This window comes from Homo sapiens, chromosome 22, assembly GCF_000001405.40.
Source record: "Homo sapiens chromosome 22, GRCh38.p14 Primary Assembly".
NCBI lineage: Eukaryota > Metazoa > Chordata > Mammalia > Primates > Hominidae > Homo > Homo sapiens.
The window spans coordinates 43,290,247-43,311,708 of NC_000022.11; the positions used below are offsets into that span (position 1 = coordinate 43,290,247).

General features: G+C 54.9%; 1 protein-coding gene across 1 annotated transcript in view, besides 4 other annotated features; it reads right to left on the reverse strand.

Annotated features, from left to right (window-relative positions):
* Positions 1-21,462, reverse strand: part of SCUBE1 (signal peptide, CUB domain and EGF like domain containing 1) — a 146,093-nt gene that overhangs the window by 92,967 nt on the left and 31,664 nt on the right. Inside the window, exon 4 of the mRNA NM_173050.5 lies at positions 800-934. Coding sequence (NP_766638.2) covers positions 800-934 — 135 coding nt within the window. The remainder of the gene's footprint in view (positions 1-799; positions 935-21,462) is intronic.
* Positions 2,919-3,436: an enhancer, noted in NCBI's record as "H3K4me1 hESC enhancer chr22:43689171-43689688 (GRCh37/hg19 assembly coordinates)". NCBI's record gives its function as "activates a minimal SCP1, AML or CMV promoter by ChIP-STARR-seq in naive H9 embryonic stem cells {active_cell/tissue: H9 hESC(naive)}" and the evidence as "EXISTENCE:reporter gene assay evidence [ECO:0000049][PMID:30033119]".
* Positions 3,497-3,791: an enhancer, noted in NCBI's record as "tiled region #12495; HepG2 Activating DNase unmatched - State 4:PromP, and K562 Activating DNase matched - State 5:Enh". NCBI's record gives its function as "activates a minimal TATA promoter and a strong SV40 promoter by Sharpr-MPRA in HepG2 and K562 cells {active_cell/tissue: HepG2 | K562}" and the evidence as "EXISTENCE:reporter gene assay evidence [ECO:0000049][PMID:27701403]".
* Positions 10,191-10,692: an enhancer, noted in NCBI's record as "H3K4me1 hESC enhancer chr22:43696443-43696944 (GRCh37/hg19 assembly coordinates)". NCBI's record gives its function as "activates a minimal SCP1, AML or CMV promoter by ChIP-STARR-seq in naive H9 embryonic stem cells {active_cell/tissue: H9 hESC(naive)}" and the evidence as "EXISTENCE:reporter gene assay evidence [ECO:0000049][PMID:30033119]".
* Positions 10,693-11,192: an enhancer, noted in NCBI's record as "H3K4me1 hESC enhancer chr22:43696945-43697444 (GRCh37/hg19 assembly coordinates)". NCBI's record gives its function as "activates a minimal SCP1, AML or CMV promoter by ChIP-STARR-seq in naive H9 embryonic stem cells {active_cell/tissue: H9 hESC(naive)}" and the evidence as "EXISTENCE:reporter gene assay evidence [ECO:0000049][PMID:30033119]".

Genomic DNA, 21,462 nt, shown 5'->3' on the forward strand with positions numbered 1-21,462 from the left:
AAGCACATGTGTCCTGGCCCTCTCCTCCAAGCACATGTGTCCTGGCTCTCTCCTCCAAGCACATGTGTCCTGGCTCTCTCCTCCAAGCACATGTGTCCTGGCTTTCTGGACAGCTCTGCCGCCACCTCACAGCTCTGCTGCCCTGAGCCGAAACTCCAGGATCTGACCACTGATGCCGTAACACCAAGTTCCTTTGCCTGCTGGGCTTGGCTGGTGGCCAGGCTCCACTTCAGCCTGGGTCTGCCACCTAGTGCTCCAGCTGGTGGGGTGTCTTCCTGGGGCCCTCTGCACCTCCCCAGGCTGGCCTGCCACACTGCCTGGCTTCCAAACAGCAGGCGCCCGACCACAAGGACCCTCTCCTGGCGGGAAACCCAATGAACATGCAGCAGGGAGTCGCTGGTGCTGCCAGGCTCATGGAGACAGAGAAGTTGGCACACAGCCTGGATAGCCTCAAGCCCCCTTTGGAGAAGGAGCCCATGGAGAATGGGGCCCCACTCTTCCTGGCCACAGCCAGCCCCCAACTCAGAAAGGAAAACAGCTCCTCTGGTCACATGTGCTACTTGCGGCCCCACATATAAACACGAGAAACACCCGCAGCCCTAGTGTAGCAGGTAGAGGGAAGGAACTGGAAGGAGGCCCATGCAGAACCAATACCAGACGTGCAAAACAGTCATTCAGACTACCACCAAAATTCCCTGCCTTGACCTTGAGGGCCCCAGAATTGAGATGTGGAGAAGGGGACTCTGGGGGCTGCCCATCCTGGGGGGGGACATGCCTGGTCAGCATAGGCTGTACTCACCATTGGAGCGGTGGATGCAGGTATGCTGGTTGTCACTAAGGAAGAAGCCACTGTGGCACTGACACTCGTAGCTGCCCATGGCATTGACGCAGATCTGCTGGCAGCCACCATTATTGTCCTGACACTCGTCCACATCTGTGAGAAAAGGAAGAGAAGGGGACCAGAGATCACACCTAAGTTGGAAGCAGGGCATGAGGGGCTGGCGGGACAGGGATGCAGTGAATTTCCTCACATGGCCCTGAAGGGAGGGACTCCAGAGAGGGCCTCCCTGGTGCTGTGTGATGGTGATACTGTACAGTGGGCCTCCACGGCCCTGCACCATGGTGGCACTCTACAGTGGGCCTCCATTGTGCTGTGCCATAGTGGTACAGTGGGCCTCCATCGCTCTGTGCTATAGTGGTACGGAGGGTCTCCATCGCGCTGTGCTACAGTGGTACAGTGGTACAGTGGGTCTCCATTTTGCTGTGCTACAGTGGTACAGTGGGCCCCCATCAGGCTGTGCTACAGTGGCACGGTGGGCCCCCATCGCGCTGCACTACAGTGGTACGGTGGGCTCCCATGGCGCTGCGCTACAGTGGCATGGTGGGCCTCCATCGTGCTGTGCTATACTGGTACAGCGGGACTCCATGGTGATGCTGCACGGTGGTACTCCCGAGAGCAAGTCCTGGAAAGAGTCCAGTGGCTATGATGCTAGCTCACTCCAACTCAACAGTGCTGTCTGAGTGCCCAGCACTGTTCTAAGCATCTTACCTGTATTAATTCCTTTAATTCTCACAGCAACCCTGTAAGTCAGATCCAGGTACCAGTCCATTTTATAGATGAGGAAACTTAGGTGCGGAGGGGCAAAGTCACTTGTCTAAAGTCCTACGTATGGTAAGTGGCAGAGGCAGGATTCAAACCCGGTGGTCTGACCCTGAAACCTCAGCTCTCAGTGACGTCGCCAGACCCCCCACTCTAGGAAGACACAGCAGCCTGCAGCAGCTGTCCCCAACACATGGAGCTTTGCCAGCTGCAACCCCACGAGCCCCGTCTCTTGACTCAGCTCAGGTTTACCATCAGCAGCACAACACGATAACAGGCTGGAGCACAGCACAGTGCCCCAAGGCTCTGTGCCCTGCAACTGATTTCAAAAACTCCGAGAATGAGGAGGTTTTTATTAAGAAAAGGCCCTGACCTCCGGCTGCCAAGATGGCTGTGGAAGGCTGCCAAGTGGTCTTTCCCACTCTCGGGGAGAGGCAGACCTCAGGGCCGACACTCATTTCTGACCAGAGGCCGCTGGCACAAAGGGCGCTATTGGCTGAAAACAGTCTTTATGGAGTTCTGGTCTTGAGCACAACAGCGTGTTTCAATTACCAGAGTCATAACCCCCTGCTCTGTCAGTTTGTTTAATGAAAGAAGGGCTTCTTAAACCTTAATGTTCCATGTCTGTATTGTCATTTTAATAGGCAAATATATAAAACCACAAAGGCGGCGTGAGCTACTGGCTGCTTCTAGCCAATCCCCGGTCCCTAACACACACACACACACACACACACACACACACACACACACTCTTCGGTGTTGAGCTTTTGATACACTTCTTTTTAACATAGACATCTTTTACTATTGGAACCAAAAGGATGTGAAAAGGTAAAGAGTTGGTGACCTGCACTGAACTGGGAGAGGACTTGGCTGTGGAGCGATTTGAGCCAGGTCCTATTTAGACTCATGGACGACAGACCACTTTACCACCTAAGACACCACACGGCTGCCTTTGAGGCCGACAGCGAGGCCATTATTCTTTGGCAAGCTCAAATGTCAGCCGTGTGGGCAGTCAGAGGAGGCAGGCAGAGCTCTGAACTCTAAAAGCCGCCAGTGGTTACAGCTAAAATGGTAGAAGTGGCCCTCGCTGAGAGGAGCCAGGTGATCGCACCATTCTGACTGGGGAAGCCTGGGGAGGAGGGAGAGGGACTATCCTCAGCACCTTTCTCCATTCAACAAAGCCTTGCTTAGGACCCCCTAGGGGCCCAGTGCCCATGCCACCTTTGCTGGGCGCAGCCCCTAGGGGTGGCGAGTGGTCGCCTCCCTCCCCTCCAAGCCTCAGCCATGTCTGCCCCTGGGGTCTGTCTCCAGCCTGCACTGGACCATGAAAAGCACCAAGCCAGGCCCCGTGTCCTACTCATCCTGCTAACAACACAAAGCAAACATCTGTGAGTGTTTATTATGTGTTAGGCGCAGGCCCACGCGATCCTCACAGCTACCTGGGTGACAGGTCATGTTATTGACCCCATTTTACAGATGAGGACACGGAGGCTCCGGGAGCTGGAGTAGCTTGAGTAGAGTGACACAGCACACCAGAGTGAAGGCGGGACCCAGCCCTGCGGTCTGGCTGCAGAACACGCGCCTTTGGCCCCAGGCTAAGCTGGCTGCGTCAGCGCATGTGCTCAGACCAATGCTGCGAAGAGCCGGCTGCTCCTCACACGAGCTGGAGTCCAGTGTCAACTTGAGCACGTGCACGTCAGCCCCAGATGCAGCTTGCCGTGAGGAGCATCGGGAAGGACCCAGCATTCCTGGGGTTAGTCCCATCTCTGGGCCTATAAGACCCTGTAGAGAACTGTGCTGGCATACACTTAACAATGGGACCTGGACATGGGCAGCTGTCCCTGGGACTCAGTTCGGACCCCTCTCATGTCACGGTTGTTACCTTCCTTCTCATGGTTCTCAGATTCCCTGCTCTGCGCCTTGGCTTCCCCAGCCCTATTAAAGGTCCGACTGTAAAGCAAACCAAACAGACACAGACTCTCAAATGCTGAGTTCCCAGTGCAGAAATGCTACCTCATCCCTGTCACGAGGAAGCTCCCTGGCGCCGCCCATCTGCAGCCATCTGGCCTGGCCACTCCTCACCTCACTGAAAGCTTGAAGCAAAGGGCGGTTGACGTAAGGCATCTACAAACCCTCAGTGACCTGGCAGGGCGGCTGGGCCTTGGGACAGGGCTGTTTACTCTACTAGGGAACAATGACTCGCCAGTGCTGATGAATAATGGGAAACAAATGCAGGGCCATGTAAACATGTCTTGTCCCCACTCCCAAGTGATAAAGTCCTGAGATGAAGCAGGTGGGAAGAGGGGGCTGCCCCTCTGCACCCTTTTCCCACTGCGGTCCAAACAGGCCTCACCCCCGGCCCCCGAGGAGGGGAGGAAATCATGGCTGCCAAATCTCTTGGGTGGCTTGAGGCCATGACCAGCATCTCTAGGGAAGGGCCTGAGGCCCCACACACGCCTCTTGCACCCCTGTGTCTCCAGCACTTCAAGTGGGCCCCACACTGAGGTCTGAAGAGCATCCAACTGCAGCAGCTGGGTCTGTGAGATGCCGCCCATGAGCCCAGGACAGACTGGGCTCACTTGGAGGCCCTGGCCAGGCCTGGCAGGGCACTATGAGAAACAGTACTTTGGCCCTCTCCAAGAGGTGCTGTGAGCCCAGCACACACCGCCCCATGGTCCCCCAGCATTTGGCACACTCTATTATGAGAGGTGTCCTCATGGAAAAGGGGAACCCACACCTGGGAGTCAGGCTCCCTGAGTTCTGCCCCTGTCTTGCCCTGTAGCCTGTGGGCGATGCCCAGGCCTTATCCCTGGGAAGTGCTCCCAGAGCTTGAGGGATTGCAGACTGCGTCCTCCAGGAAGTCCTCCTGGAATGCCTGTGGTGTGTGCAGCCCTCCTCCTTCTCTGCCCCGTGGAACTGACTGTCAGTGCATGGATGGGTCCTGTGTGGCTGGCCCCGTGTGAGAATCCCAGCCCACCCCCAAGCCCTCACACAGAGGTGAGCGTTGAGGCTGGGCGGGGTTGCCAGCCTCACTACCATAAATAACGGCAATTGCTGCCAGCGAGGCCCCAGCTCAGGCATTATCTTAATAAATCCACACAACAGCTCCACACCGGGGGCATTATTCTTATTATCCCTGATTCTCAGGTGAGAAAACTGGGGCCTGGAGATGGAGAGAGATTTCCTCAAAGCTCTAAAAGAGGCAGAAAGAGAACTGGAAGCCCCATGAATCCAAAGCCCTCCCTCTCCTCCCGCAGGATTCAGCTGTGAATGACGACCCTTCAAGTCCGATGGCGGTAGTGACGAAGGTTCCCAGGTGCTGATGCTTACAAACCTCCCTGGCCCCTCCATGCCCACCTCTCCAAAGCCCAGTGCTCAGCCTCCTCCTCCGTGTAGTCTTTCTGGTGCCCAGCATAATTCACTCCACCCCGGCTTCCAGGCCAGGCCTGCCTTCCTTCACTACTTCCTTCCTCTGCCCTGGACCAGAGGGCTTGCCTATCCTGTCCCCGCCCTGGGGTGAGGACAGATCTGAGTCTCCTTTATATCCTTGCTCCTAGCAGCGGGTCAGGCCAAGAGTGATTACTCAAGTGACAGGAGGGTAAATGGGATGGCACAGTTTGTGCTTGCACACACCAGTGCCAGGGAGCTCACTACCGCCAAGGGACCAGTCCCAGGGGGCAGAGTGCTGTCCTTATTCCCACTGGGCACGAGGGGGGCTTCAGCTGTGAGTGGGCTCTCATAGCCTGCCCACTTCTTCAGCCATGCTCTAGGAATCCGCTGCGGCTGCTCTCTGAACACAGCCCACCCATTCACCTCTGCCCGAGTGTGCATGCCACCCTCCTCCTGGAACTGCCTCCCCTCCTTGTCCAGACCGAAGTTTTTCTTGCCTTCTGAATCCACCTGAAACGCCTCTGTTCATTCACTCACTCCGTGAACACCAAGCACCTACTCTGTGCCACACTACCCCTGAGCTGCCAGGGACACCAAGCTCCAGGGCACTGGGCCAGAGCACAGAGATGGGAGGCTTCCTGGAAGAGGCGAAGTACAAGCTGCTTTGAGGACAGCAGAGAGGTGTGACCTGAGCCTGGGGATCCTGGAGGAGGCGGAGGTGTTCTGAAAGCAAAGGCTCATGGAAGGGGCAGGGCAGGGCCCAGACAGGGAAGGGCCTGCAGCCTCTCTAACAGGAGGAGAGTTCTGGAAGCAACCAGGGAAAGGTGGCTGACAGGGTCCTGGATGCTGGGCTAAGAGGAACAGCAGAGCCAGGCCGTGGGCATGTAGAGTGAGCGAGGCTGCTCTGTGGCCTGCACCCTACCCTGGCGACCCCACACAGCGCTCAAAAACCCCAGCTCTGTTCGGGTCCCCACATCAGTCCAACTAGCAGGGGGACAGTCCCTGCAGAAAACATTTGTGCAGCCTGACACGCAGAGTGTCCCAAACCACTGAGGCCTTGGGCCAGGGCTGAGCCTGCGTGTAGTGAGGCCCCTGAGTGGGCCTGTTTCCAATCCGGGGTCCAGAATCCCTGGGCGGCTCTAGGAGGGGTAGGGGGAGTGTCCCGCCTCTGAATCCTGCTGGCAGCTCATGGTCCTTCATCTTTATTTATGACCACAGCTAAATGTTCCCAGAAGGCACGGAGCTCCTCAGCACAGCACAGGGACTTAGCTACAAAGAGACAGGAGGTCCCCTGGGCTCTGGGGCAGACTCTAGGAGGCTCCTTTCAGGAAATCCTTTCAACTGGTGAGAGAGACGGGGGAGGTAGAGTGGAGAGCGGGCCCTCCATGCCCGGTCCTGGGAGGAGCCTTTCACAGCTGTCTGGACCGGCGTGGTTGAGGCTGGAAGGCACTGGTCCACAGCCTCTTTTGATGTACAACTGTATCTGTGATTGTGCCATCGAACCGCCGGAGCCCTTCCCTCTTCCGGGCCAAGGCTGAAATGGCAGGCAAGGGAGCTGGGAGGAAGAGAAGGTGGAACCTTGGTGGGCCGTGCCACAGGGGCCTTCAGCAGGTGGGGCTGGGAGACCCCCTCGGAAAAAGACCACTCCAGTGAGGTATGGGACAAAAGACAGGGAGCCTGAAGGTCCTTGAAGGCTGCTCCCCGTGAGCTGTGAACTCCCATTCCTTCAGCCCGCAGAGCTGGGGGAGGTCAGAGGTGGGAGAAGGGAAGGACAGGAGTCAAGAAAGGCTGAGCATTTGGAGCACAAAAGAGGGGCCTCACTGGTCAGGGTCTGGCCCTCGTCCCACCCAGCCACCAGGCCTGAGGACCCTGTTGTTCTCGAAGCCCCTTTCTTCTGCCCCTCTCCCAAGGGTCTGACCAAGGCTGCTGACTTTTTCCACGCCACCTTGCCCGTCCATCTCCCTGGCTCCCATGAGACAGCCCTGGCTTGGACCTCAGCTTCCTCTTTGGGGTAGGCTGCACACTTCTCCTGGGTCTCAGCCTCCAGCCTCTCCCTCCCAATCCCTTCTCCATGGGCAGTGGCTGCTGTGATGAGTCTGGCTGGAACAGGACATGGCACCTTGGTCCCACAGGGTCTCTGGGGTCAGGTCCCACCTCCTCACTGTGCAGTACCCAGCATGAGCACAGCTCTGGAGGCCGGGGTGGCGGCGGACGGCCCTCAGCTGTGACTCTTGCCCATCTCCACTCGGTCCTCACAGGCGCAGGCCACCTCCACCTGCTGCCAGCCACTGAAGGGTGATGTGTGGGAGGGGACCCCTGTGCTGTGATTGACATGGTTGTTTTCCAGCAAGAAGAATTTCCAGAGCTGACATCAGCAGGCCATAGGTTGACCCGCTTCCGAAAGGCCTCTGCAGGCAGGACCAGTTTCCCCGGGAGGTGTGCTTCTTGGCCCAAGATGCTGATGTTTGTTTTTATTAATAGCTGGCTGTTTGTTCTACTTTGGACCAAGAGTCCAGGTTCACAGTTATTTATAACAACTAAAAATTACTTCTGGATCCAGCTCTGGCTGCTTTGTGTTTCCCGCAAATATTTCCCGATTTGAAACAGAGACTCCGTGTTCTGCTTGGACCCACCCATGTTTTCATGGCTGTCAAGAGCCTACTGTGTGTCAGGCCCTCCACTGGCTCCGGTGTCCCAGCTCCCACGGAAGGTCTAGAAACAGAGGCAGAGGTGCCCAGCCCATCTTAGGAAGCGAACTCCACCTCCAGCACGGAGAGCTCCCACCTGGTCCCAGGGGGCTGAGGCCCCCACCGCCTGCCGGCTCCTTTCAGAAGGGCGGCTTAGGCAGAAAAGCCTCTTGGCTATCTAGCGGCTCTTGCAAAATTGCATTTGATGAGTTAAGTGTAAATAAATGAGAACCAGATGGATTAGATTTTGGGTAAAATACACACGGGTCTTAGAGCTTTGGGGCCTGGGTTCTGCCAGATCCAGAACACTCTCCGAGCTGTCAAGAGCTGCTGGCACAGGCGGCAGGAGGTATGCCTGGGGTCTCCCAGGACCTGTCTGCTTCCTGGTCTGGGCATCAGCTGAGGTCTTCCCTGGGGCTCCTGATTCCCCAGCAGGTTGGCCGTGTGCAGAAGACACAGAGCCAACCTCTTGGCCTGGGCCTGAGTCCAAGCTCAGGGTGGGAGATGAGGCGCATGAATGGTAAGGTCAGCTTTCCAGACCAGCAAGCTCACTGCTCACGTCCAAACCCAGCAAGCCAGCCCAGGGAAGGCAGAGGTGGTGAAGCCTGCTGGCCGCTGGGGTCTGCTCACTCTGCTCTCCGCAACCTGAGTCCTGCCTTCCAGCCCAGCCGCTGCCCTGCCGCCCCCTGCTGTGCATCTCTAGGGAAGGACGGGAGTCTACCGCCCAGTGCAGACCGCTGGCCAGTCCTCAAAGGGGTCTGCGTGATGCTGCCCTGTGACCACTGCCCATGGGACCTGGCTGTTGCTCTACAAGTCATACCAGATGGAGTACAAGATTCAGTGAGTCGACTGGGCTTGGTGGCTCACGCCTGTAATCCCAGCACTTTGGGAGGCTGAGGCGGGCGGATCACAAGGTCAGGAGATCAAGACCATCCTGGCTAACACGGTGAAACCCTGTCTCTACTAAAAATACAAAAAATTAGCCGGGCATGGTGGCGGGTGCCTGTAGTCCCAGCTGCTTGGGAGGCTGAGGCAGGAGCATGGTGTGAACCCGGGAGGCGGAGCTTGCAGTGAGCCAGACCGCACCACTGCACTCTGGCCTGGGGCGACACAGCGAGACTCCGTCTCAAAAAAAAAAAAAAGAAAAAAGATTCAGTGAGTCTTTGCTGGTCACTTGCTCTGTGACCTTGAGCAGGTCATTTCACCATTTTGGGCCTTGGTTTCCTTCTCTATAAAACAGGGATAAAAGTCCCTGAGGTGTTTGGGAGTCAAAGGAGGTGATGGAGGTAATGTACTCTGCACAGCGCCTGGCACACACAGACCACCACCGAGTGTGAGCAGGTGCAGCACGAAGCCGCTGCTCATGGCCTCAGGGAATCACGGGTACGAACGTACTCCAGTGACAGCAAAGTCCCTTCCAAAATGCAAAAGCAACAACAAACCACATCAGAGGGGAGCACTCAGACCCGCCTCAGCCTTCTGGTCTCCAAGTGAAGCCGCTCGGCTCCTGACACTGTTCCCTCCTGAATAAGCTTCTGGCACACTCACCACCCAGGTCGCCCTTCTCTGGGGATCCCAGCTTACTGGGGCACTCACAATTGGCCCAGAAGTGGACAGAGCTGTGCACATGGTCTGCTTGGAGGATGTGGGTGGGACTTTTGATGCTATGTTCGTGTGACCTCTGCTATTTCTCCAATCCCGTTTCTGGTTGAGATAGAACTCATGGAGCACACAATTCACAATCTTTAAGCCGACATCTTAGTGGTTTTTAGTATATTCACCGTGTTGCACGACCATCACTACTAATTCCAGAATATTTCCATCATGCCAGAAAGAGGACCTGTGCCCGTTTTCGGTTAGTCCCAATTCCTACCCCTTCGCCCCTGGAAACCACATGTCTACTTTCCATCTATGGTTTGCCCATTCTGGACATTTCATGTAAAGAGAGTCATGCGATATTTGTCTTTGTGTGTCTGGCTTCCTTCACTTAGCATGTTTTCAAGCTGCATCCATGTCGTAGCGTGACTCAGCACTTCATTCCCTTTTACGGCTGAACAGTATTCTATTGCATGGACAGACCACATTTCATGTATCTCTTCGTGAGCTGATGGACATCCGGGTTGTGCTGGCTTTGTGGCTGTTATGAACGGTGCTGCTGAACACTGTGTGTAAGTTTTCGTGGGGGTATACGCCTTCAGCTCTCCTGGGTGGATACCTGGGGGTGGCACTGTCACATCATCTGGTAACTCCATGTGTGCCCTTTTTGAGGAAATGACTGTTTACCACGGGCGACACCGTTTTACATTTCCAACCAGCAAAGTATGGGGTTTCTAATTTCTCCATATCCTCGCCAACACTTGTTCCTTTCTGGGCTTTTTTTTTTTTTTAACAGCCATCCTAGTGGGTGTGGCGTGGTTTCTCATTATGGTTTTGATTTTCATTTTTCTAATGACTAATGATGTTGAACAGCTTTTCACATGCTTAGTGGCCATTTGTATGGCCCTGGGATACAGCGACGCTCAAGACAGACACGGTCCCTGTTCTCACGGGCTCTATGCTGTCTGTGGGGAGACAGAAACAGTCACAAAGACTCCAGGTGGGCGTGGCGTCTCCATCTCTTTGGAGATATGTCTATTCAGGTCCTTTGCCTATTTTTAAACTGGGATGTCTTGAGTTGTAAGAGTTCTTTATACATCCTGGATACTAGACCCTTACCAGATATATGATTGGCAAATACTTTTTCCTATTCTGTGGACACCACCTCCTTTCAAGCAGCCTCAGGCAGCACTAGGTACTCAGGAGTTCAGTGCAGGTCAGTGGGGCCTGGGCTTCTCTCAGGCTCTTCCCTCGCCCCCACCCCATCTACATTTTGTTCCTGGGAGATTTCGCACTGTCCCTTGGCTACCTATCTGCCAAGGTTGCCCCCAAACCCCCAGGCCTGCCAGCTCCACCACCCTCCAACTTAGACATCAAGAGCTGACCTGGTGCCTGCACGTGGACATCCTGCGGGCGTGACAGACTTCATGGGCCGCGTGCTGAACTCCCAAGTCCCCCTCCCACAAAAGCAGAATAGAATGAGACAAAGCTCAGTCTGCCCTCAGCCTTCCCCAGCTCAGCAAATGGTCACACAACCCACAGTTGCTTCAGGCAAAACACCTGGTAGTTATTTTTGATGCTGCTTTCTCCCCACATTGAAGCCCTTAGCAGGTCCAGTCCTTTCAATTCTGCCTGTGAAATTCACCACGAGTACAACACATTCGCTCCCCTCCAGGGCTGCCACGGCTGGGCCAGTCGCCCTCGTCTCTGGCCTGGATTCTCGAACTCCCTGCCTCCATCCTGCCTCTGTCCATCCTCCATCCCTCATGGACCTCATGCCATCCCCCTGCCTGAAAGCCCACAAAGGTGTCATAAACATGAACTCCCTTTCCCGGCCACCAAGCCCACAGGAACTGCTCTGCCCACGTCCCCCCGGGCTCCTCCTCGCTCACCCGCCTCCAGCCAGGCTGCTGTGTCCTGCTCTCCCTTGACCCCAGCTGTCCTGTTCCCATCTCCAGGCCTTGGCATTTGCTCCTCTGCCTGGAATGTTCTTTGCTTGTCTTGGCACGGCTGCCTCCTCCTTCTCCTTCAGACCTCAGCTCACGTGCCGCTTTCCCAGAGATGCTCTCTCTGACCACTAAGCTAAAGTGGCAGACAGGCCATTCTGCAACGTGTCCCTCCCCTGCTTCCTTCAGAGCACGCCCCCACCCACCTGGAATCTTCCTTGTGACTGTTTCTGTCTACCCCCAGGCAACACAGAGCCCCTGAGAACAGGGACCCTGTCTGTTTTGAGCATCACAGTATCCCAGGGTTTTGAACAGTGCACGGGGCACATGATGTATGTCTGCGGACTGGATAACGGACTGAGCACTTCCAAAAGTGTGGGTGGGGAACGGCGCTTCTGGCCTGGACATCCACAGGCCCTGGCTAAAGGCCGTCCCACCAAGGATGAGCTGCATGGCCTTCGCTGCCGTATGCTGCAAAGTGTGGCTGCAGAGGGGCTGCCATGAGGCCCTGCAGCCCCAGGACCTGCTCAAGGAAGCAGCTCTGGATGAGTGACAGGAGCATGTGCTGGCTACCAGTGGGCCGTGGGTGTGTGGGTGGGTCAGGGGCTGACATCAGGAGATGCCAGAGAAGGCTCTCAGAGAAGAGCTGTGCTCATCTGCCGCCTTAGCCTTGCCCGAGAGTGGGGAGCTTGTGCGGAGATCGCGATGGGGAACCAGGTACCCTCACAGTCATTGCCAGCCTGTGGCTTTGGTGCTCAGTGCATGACGGGATCCATGTTGGGGGGCCTCAGAAGAGGGGTGCAGCTCAGCGTCTCCTCCTGCTTTGTCGGCACCTTTACTGACATGAGGACCAAAGTCTCCCACTAAAGAAGCTGCTTGAGCTGGGCAGAGTTTCAGGAAGTGAGTGGAGAGGGAAGCGGTCTGGAGACACAGTGGGATCCCCTACCGAACTACATTTCACTCACTTTGCTAGACCACCTATGGCAAGGCCAGTTCCTCCTTGAACTTCTAGATCACAGGCAGGGCAGGGGGCGGCTGGGGCCCCTGCTCAGAGTCAGGCACTCTTTGTTACAGTTATCTCAGTTAACCTCAGCCCAGGGCAGTAGCTGTTTTGTAAATGGGAGCTCCAAGCAGTGTGCAGCCTGCCCACAGTCCCCAGCAAGTGAGTGACAGAGCCAGGCTGGGAACGGGGTGCTTTCATCCCCTCAGGCCTCTGACAGTGCAGCTGTGAATGTGATCCTGGCTGGACATCTGTAGGAGGCACTGGAGTTTTTAAAAATTTCTTTTGATGGGGATAAGAATGGAGGACTGGAGAGAGGGAAGGAGGAAAACCAAACAAACAAATCATGGAACCAAAGCGAGAAGCTGTAAGGAAAGAAGGAGGAAACGCTCCCACGGGACGCTTAATGAAGCGCCTCTGCGCCTACCCAGGCCCAGCTGCATGTGATTACCTCCAGGCCGGTGGATGGGGCGGCAGGGCAAGTCCCACTCCTGTTGAAAAACAAAACCAAACTTCCCCGAACCAAGGAGGGGCCCCGGAGCTCCCACGACACCCCAGGTGACACAGGTCCTCTGGCCAGTTCATCCTGCCAGACTCCAGCCAAGTCAGCTGATTGATTCCCAGCATCCATTTCCCAGCCTCGGTACCGTCGGAATTCTAACCTTCAGGGACTAATTCTTTCCCGTGGAAGTCCGCATTTTCTTCCACCCTCCAAAGCTATGTGAAATTGCCAGGCGGCTGTGCGGCTGTTCCTTCTCTTCCTCCTCCTTGCTAGCACCCTCCATGTGTACACCTGTCCTCACCTACCAGGTATCCTTGAGCGTGAGCGTCCTTGGCACACGCCAGGCCTGTGGCCATACCCTGATCCCAGCCGCTTGGCCTCCTGCCCCATCCATGCCCTGCATTGGCTCCCCAGCTGGGCCTGCCACATGTGGGCTTGTTCCTTCCTGCACTCAGCAGTCCCTCCCTGTCAGGCCCCGGGGTGGGCCTGGTGGCAACAACCAGGACTAAGGAATAGTTTTGTCTCATCAGAGCTGACATACCGGAGAAAGGCAGATGGCAGGCCACAGAAGGCAGTGGCAGAGGGCTGGGTGGGGGTGCCAGGAAGCTTCACGGAAAAGGGGGCACTCGCTTGGCTGAGGCACTGGCACGCTCGCAGGCCTCCCCACAGCCAACCTGTCTCTGAGTTTGTGGCCACATTCTGTCTGTAGTTCTCCTCCTCTCAAAAACCTAGCATGGCTTCCTATCACTTGACCAATACAACTGTTTTATTATTTAAGATTCTGAGCCGATAAGGAATTCTGAGAAACAGTGGAAAAGCTGATCAACAATCCTACAGTTTAGACAGAACCACAGTCAGGAGCATCTATTTTGTTTCCGTCTTTTTGCATGAGCTGATTTTCTCCTAAATGTAATGAGTTGATCTGTGCACAGCCACGGCGAGCTGAGCTAAAGCGCCTTCAGTGCTGTGGCTTGGCCCTGCCTCCACTTCTGACTCGCTGCTTTGTGCAGTCCACAGTGGGCTCCTCTTCCATGCCCTCGTGCAGTTGTTAATAAACTCCCCCGTGAAGGACGCAGCTGGGCAGCTACGGCCCTTTTCATTTAAGGGATTATTGCCTTCAGAGAGCTCCCCAGAAGTGGGATTCCTGGGTCAACGACTGTGAGCTTTTGTTTCTCATGACTCCCTGAAGACCCCTGTTAACCTGCATACAACTGACTGACTCTCCTGCCGTACAGCATCTGCACTTGCGGTGGCCTCATCTGCCACCGTCTTTTCTATTGGCCACATCCATCTCCAGCGAACTTCTGTGATTAGTCACATGTATTTGTTCACTCAGTCACTTGGCAGGGGTGCAAGGCACCACACTGGTGCATGGGTAAACAGGGAAAGACGAGGCCAAGGCCTGCCCTCAGGGAGCTGCCATTCTAGGAAAGAGAGGTGGTGAGGACACTGGGAGACCAGTGTCTATTAACCATAGTGGGGTCAGAGCCCTGCAGGACAAGAAGAGTGTGCTGTGAGAAGCAGGAACAGGCAGGCTGAACCCAGGCAGAGAGCGTCTCTCTAAGCCACGAGGACCAGTGCAGAGAAAGGTGCATTTGGTGGTGAGAAGTGCGGTTGGTCGTGTGTGTGTGTGTCTGTGTGTGTGTGTAATCTCTGGGTCTAAGACCAGGAGAGCACATGGTATATATGGCTCATTTGACAGAGACTGCCTTTTTACCACCACTACCTGCCCTGAACCCACTCTGCTCCCTGGCCGAGCCCTTCCCATCTCCAGGCTCTGCACATGCTGCTCCTCCCTCCTAAAATGTCCTCCCTTCACCCCATCTCCACCCCCCGCAGGGGACCCTCCACTCACTCCAGGTAGGGCGAGTCACCCACCCCACACCATCCCTTTGCACACCCCTAGTATTAATTACACAAAGGACACCATAGTGGGAGTATTTCTGCACATGGCCTGGGAGCTCCCTGAGGGCAAGAGTGAGTCTAACTAATCTCAGAGGCCCCTCACCTGCAGATATGGGCACCCGGGGCATGTCCTGACAGAAGAGCATTGGGGCATTCTTGCTGTCCCAACCCAATAATCACCCCCACTGCCCGCACTGTCCCGGGCTTTCATTCCATTCCATCTTGGCGACGTGATTCTGCATCAACAGTGAAGAGAGTCCTGCCGGAATACGGAGGAGAAGCGGCACATAAACCTCAATGGGTGACTGCCACCACACACAGTTCTGTCCACGCCCAGGTGACACTGGACACGGACATCAGGACATGAAAACGCTTGCTCTATTGGAGGGGTGAGAAATGGGGGAATGATTTTGTCTTTTCTCTGGATTTCTCTGAGTGTTTCTGTATAATTATTGCACGTGTGGCTGATGGATAAGTAAACAGACATTTGCAGCTTGGTCTGATTCTGGCAGGCCTGAGAGTTGGCAGGGAGGGCAAGGGAGCAGAATGCAGGGAGCAGGTCCCTCTGCCCGGGGGGCTGGGGAAGAGGCTCAGGCGGAAGAGCTGGGGTGTCCGGGACAGGCCGGGAGGAGGTTCTCCAGGTAGGGGAATGGTGTGTGCAGAGGCCCAGAGGGCATGAGGAGCCGGGGGACAGGCTTAATATTTAGTTTGCTGGGAGCACAGGGAGAAACAGAAAGGCTGGAGTGTCAGCAGGGCCAGCTGCCAGGCCAAGGAAGCCAGACCCCCACAATGGCAACACAGGCCCTGGGGAGGGTCCCACTCGGCAGGGCCTCCACCACGGGTGGGTCCCAAATGACTCCACTGGTGTCTGACCCCCTGGCGGTCAGCAGATGAGCCAGGGGAGGGCAAGCCTGTGGGATCCTCTCCCCATCATTAAAGTAGCACCTGGGAGGTTACTAAAGACCCCAGGCCAAGCAGCTGGGCTGCTGCCATGGCTGCCCACTTCCCACAAATAAAGAGTGCCAGCCAGGCACAGGGCGTCTCTGCCAGCAGTCTATTTCTAGCTGTATGTGGTTGGGATGAGGTGGGTGACAGGGAGGGGTGCCAGGGCAGCCTGATGCACAGGCCTGGCTAATGGCCACTATAAACAGCTGGAACCTGTCCCGGTGCTGGGGGAGGAGGGTCACTGCAGCATCTGCCCCGATGCAGCCAGGCCCAGCAAACGTCCAGGGCGACCCCAAACGCCACCCAGGGCCCAGGGTGCTCCAAGGTAAGCGAGACTATTGACAGACGCAGTACTGGACTGGGTTGAGATGCCCTTAATTGTTGCTAATGTCCCCTTTTAGGGCCACGGCTCCGTGTCTGGTTTGGGGGCATATGTTTTGCTGGCAGGGTATTTTTAAGGAGCCTTCACAAGACACTTATTTATTTATTTATTTTTTATTTTCTGGAGTTCTGACCAAGCTCTTGGCACAGGGACTGCAAACAGGAACAGAGGAAGGCAAGTGTCTGCAGCGAGTGTTTTCTTTGCTGTTTATGGACTCGGTATTCTCTGCTCTGAGACAGAGCGGGGCTTCTTCCTCAAGCCACCAAATTGAGACCTACAAAGGTAGGGTGGCACCAGGCACAGTGACAACAGATTTCAATCCAGTGGAGGGAGGATGGGATCACGAACACACACTCCTACCAAGGGGAAGGTGGCCTCATACAGGGATGCAATCCCTGACCTGAATGTACAAGCACAGGGAGAGTGGGAAGGGACGAGCAGGTGAAGGGTCCTGAGGCCCACCATGTGCCACCTTCCTTCACGTACACCCTTCTCTGTATCCCCAGAGCCCTGTCCTGGGAACACCAGCATGCCCCTTTCCAGGAAAGAAAACCGAGAGCAGAGAGCTAGGAAGGGAGTGGGAGTCAAGGCCAACGTGTCTGATGCCCAAGTCCATGCTCTCCCTGTGTCTAGAGCAGAGACCAGAAGGAGCCAGGCACGGAGAAGTGGACTGGGGAGTCACAGGCCATCGCTGGCCGAGGGAGACAGGGAGACTTTCCCAGCGCTTCTACCCAGCTCCAAGTGTGCTGATGACCCCCACGGCAGGTCTGTGCACCTGCCACCGTCAAGTCGTTTGCCTCCTGAGGGTCAGAATCCAACATTCTACCCCGTTACCCTGCCACCCGCCCATCCTCCACCACACAAACGAGCCTGCTGTGGGCCTGGCCTTTGCAGGCCTTGGATAAAGAGCTTGGCCAATCCAGAGCTCAGCACTCGAGGAATTCCCAAGGAAGGAAGAGAGATCTCCCCTGAGATGCCTGAGTGCCAGTCCCAGGAGCTCAGGGCCATGTCAGAGGGAAGCCTAGGGGAGGCTGTACAGCTCAGAGAGGTCTTCTCTAGGGGTTGACGCCTCACCTGAGTGAGCCCTGAGGAACAAGTAGGGGCCAGCCAAACTAAGCGTTCATCAGGAGGCTGGGGAAGGGCGCTCAGTGCAGAACAGCAGGTGTATGGACACCCTGGAGGAGGAAAGGGCGGGATGGTTATGGAGAGGAAAAGTGTTCGCCATGCTGGAGATTACAGTTCTGAGAAACAAGGAGAGCTGCGCAGACAACGACTGCATCCTGCTGGGACAAGGAGGACACGGAAAAGAGCTGAGCTGCCACTGTCCCTGGGGCCAATCACACGACCGCACTGCCAGGTCACGGGATGCTGGAAGGAGAAGGGCTCTGACCCAGCAGCCCAGCCAGGGGGTTCCAAACTGAGGTCCAGAGGCTCCAGGAACTTTGCAGAGGTAGAGACAGGTTCCATGGGGAGCAGAGCTCTAACTGTGGCCAGTCTTGTCTCCCGTTCAGCCACAGCGTGAGGCCCCTGCATGATTCCGCTTCGGAAAAAAGATTTCTGCTGCTATAAACCCCACAGCATCTGAAAACCACTGATCAAATCCCATCTTTTTATTTCACATATGACAGGGAAACTGAGGCATAAAGAGGCAGGGCATTTCCCAAGGTCTCCCAGCAAGTCAGTGGCCTAAGGAGCCTGACTTCTGCTCTGTGGGCCACTGATTCTGCCCTGATTGCTGGGCCAGAAGGGGGCTGGCAGGAAGAACCATCTGGCCCCCTGTAATAAACACCCCACAGTCCCCCCACCCAATCCCAAGCAGGCCATGGGCATGAGGCTGTCAAAGGCCACTCCACCCCGAAACACACAAAGGTCTGAACCAGTCTGCCTCCCTACACCCCACTCGAGGGTCTCCCCTTTTTTGTAGCGATTTGGGAAAAGAAGGAAGCGAGTCTATAAAGATGTACAACACTGTCCAGGGAGTCTCTTTCTCTCAGGCCAAATAATTTCTTTCAGATTAACAGCTGTAGAAGGCGGAGAGGAGAGGCGGGCCTGGATCTGTCTTGTACTCTGACAGCAAATCCCTCCAACTGAGCGTGTTTAGAGCACCTGAAAGTGGGCCAAGAATGGGAAAAGGTGGTGGGGTAGTAGGTGGGCATAACGAAAGAGACCAGGAAGAAACCTCTTGAGTTTACTTTAGAAAATATTGGTGTTTATGGAGTAAGTATATGACTGTCCAAAGCTGTTTAGTTTTACATTAAGATGATCAGCATTTTTTTTTCCAGCAAGAAATGTATTTGAGCTGTTGAAGTATAAAGACAAATAAACAGCAGCAACTCGAGCCTTCGTTAGGGGTTCCAGGGAGCCACATGTTGTCTCCAGCTGTCTTCCAGGACAAGAGGGCCTCCTTTAAAAGGCCGCGATGGCGCAGGCCCTTTCATCAGCCCAGCGGAGGGAGAGCTGGAGCGCGGCGCCTGCACGGAGCATCTGGGCACTCGCCGGTGACTTCCTCCCCCAGGGTGCAGCTGGGCTCCAGGCCCCATCGGGAGTCCCCCGAGGGCCCCTCCTACTCCTCCTTTTCTACCCCTCCACTTGGCAGCCTCAAGTGCCACTTGCACATCCATCTCCTCAACTGATCCTAACAGACAGGGACCGACCCCATTTCACAGAGACCAAAACTCCGACTCTGAGAAATGAGATGATGTGTCCCAAGTTACAAAATAAGAACACAGCAGAGCTCAAATTGAAGTCGCGATGTCACATGACCCCTCAGTCAACAGACAGTAAGTACAAGAACCAGCGCAAGAGGCTGGGAGAGCATTTGGCAGGTGGGGAGCGGACCGTGGGCAGCAGCTCATCTGGCAGGAATGAGGAGCAGGGCCCAGGCAAAGGGCTTCCCACACGGCCCAGGCCCAGGCTCGCCCCCTGCACCTTCACCAGCTCCAGGTATATCCATTTTCCCTAAACTGTGTTCTGGCTTTGCACACTAGGAATAAATGTTAATTAGCTCATTCGCATCTGTTGAGACCTTGCCCTGTGCTAGGTACTATGGTATGTGTTTTACAAAGCTCATCTCGTTGGCCTCTGCATCATCTCTGTCAAATAAGCACTGTTACCAGCCCCACCTCATGCAGGAGTACACAGAGGCCCAGAGAAGCAGAATTACTTGCTCAAGGTCACATAGTAAGTGATGGATCCAGGGTTCAAAGCCAGGCAGATCGATTTCTGATGCTCCTTGAGGGCCCGAAATAAGGCCATACCTCTCCTAATTGTGAGCTCCAAGCAAGGCACAGCATAGGGTGGGTGCTTGTGAAATCTTTACGAAATGAGTGAATATTAAAATATCTGGCTTCCAAAGCCATCTAGACGCCATGTAGAAACCCTCACATTTTCCCCCGGGTTTGACTACAGACTTCTAAGCTTGTGCACCATCTCCATTTCGATGGCTGCTTATCATTTCAAACAGAACTCAGACGAACAGACACCTGAGTCCTGTACCTCCGTGTCCACCCCCACACCCAGTCTGTCCTCCCCCTAGCCTTCCCCATCTCAGCCACAGCAGCAGAGCCCCTAGAAACTCCGGGGAAACCCAATCATCAGTTTTGACTCTCTTCTCCCTGTACCTCTCATATCTCATCCACTGGCTGCTCCCGTCAACTGTTTTCAAAATACACTGTGAGTTCAACGACCACTTCTCCCACTGTCACCCTGAACGAAGCCACCAACCGCTCTGACCCAGGCCACTGCAGTGGTTTCCCTGCTTAAGCCACTCTGCCTCTCTACTCAGCAGCCAGAAGCGCTTTTTAAATTAAAATGTCCACTGGAACATGTCAATCCCTGGTGAAAATAGCCCACGGCTTCCCAGGTAACAGAATAAAATCCAAACCCCTTTCTCGAGACGATATGACCCTGCCTGACCCAGCCCCGGCCCGCCTCGTTGCCTCATCTCCAGTCTGTGTCCCTCGCTCCTGATCCTCCAGGCATCCTGGCCCATCCCCAAACTCCTAACAGTTCCTACCACACTTGTCCCCCTTCTGCTTGGACAGAGGACCTTCCCTAGACCTTCATGTGGTACTTCCTCCCTCTCACTGGGGCTTCCTCCCCTTACCCCGGGCAGACCTCTGTTACCCCCCTCATTGGTGGAGGTGACTTCTCAGGCTAGACTGTCAAACTGCCAAGCATGGGATTCTGTCGTCTTAGGACCCAGCGGCCATGATGTGCGGAAGCTCCTACCAGCCCATGTGGAAAGACCACATAAAGAGGCTGCCCATAGTGTCCTGGCTGACAGCCAACCACCACCACCAGCTGTGAGCAAAGATGCTTCCAGATGATTCCAGTTCTTGGCTATCAAGTCATCCCCAGCTTTCAAGTCTCCCAGCTGAGGCCCCAGACACCGTGGAGCAGAGACTAGTTGATCCTGTCTGACTTCTTGCGCCACAGAATTCATGAGCAAAATAGTATTTTATGCCACTAAATGTGAGGTAGTTTTTTAAAAATTTAATTTTACTTTTCAAAATGGACATGTAATAATTGTACATATTTGTGGGGGACATAGTGATTTTTCAATACACATTTTTTAAAAACTTTTTTTAGTTTTACTGAGTCAGGATCTTGCTCCATTGCCCAGGCTGGAGTGCAGCAGTGCAAACATAACTCACTGCAGCCTCAACCTCCTGGGCTCATGCAATCCTCCCACCTCAGCCTCCTTAGTAGCTGGGGCCACTGGCGCACACCTCCATCCCTGGCTAATTTTTTAAATTTCTGTAGAGATGGGGTCTTGCTATGTTGCCTAGACTGGTGTCAAACTCCTGGGCTCAAGTGATCCTCCTACCTTGGCCTCCCAAAGTGTTGGGATTATAGGTGTGAGCCACCAAGCCTGGCCTTGATACATATTGAGGTGGTTTCTTATGCAGCAATAGTAACTGGAATCCTACCCTACCCAATGCTGTCACCCTGCCCCCATCACTTTGTATCACATTATTTGTTTTATTATTTTTTTCAGTGGCTCTGACCTGGCTGAAGTTACTGAGTTACATGTTCACATGTTCACTGTCTTTCTCCTCTATGTAAGTTCATAAGCAGGGAGATGTTGTAGCCTTTGTTCACCACCATAGTAAGCACTGAAAACCATGTCTGGCATATAGCAGGCACTCAGAACAATTTTTTTGGAATAAACAAATGGATGAATACTAGGTGGAAGGCTTTAGTATTATTCCTAATGTAGCACTTTTTTTTTTTTTTTTGGACAGAGTCTCACTCTGTCGCCCAGGCTGGAGTGCAGTGGTGTAATCTCGGCTCATTGCAACCTCTGCCCCCCGGGTTCAAGTGATTCTCCTGCCTCAGCCTCCCAAGTGGTTGGGACTAGAGGCGCCTGCCACCAAATCTGGCTATTTTTTTTTTTTGTATTTTTAGTAGAAACGGTGTTTCACCATGTTGGTCAGGCTGGTCTCGAACTCCTGACCTCATGTGATCCACCCGCCTCGGTCTCTCAAAGTGCTGGGATTACAGGCAT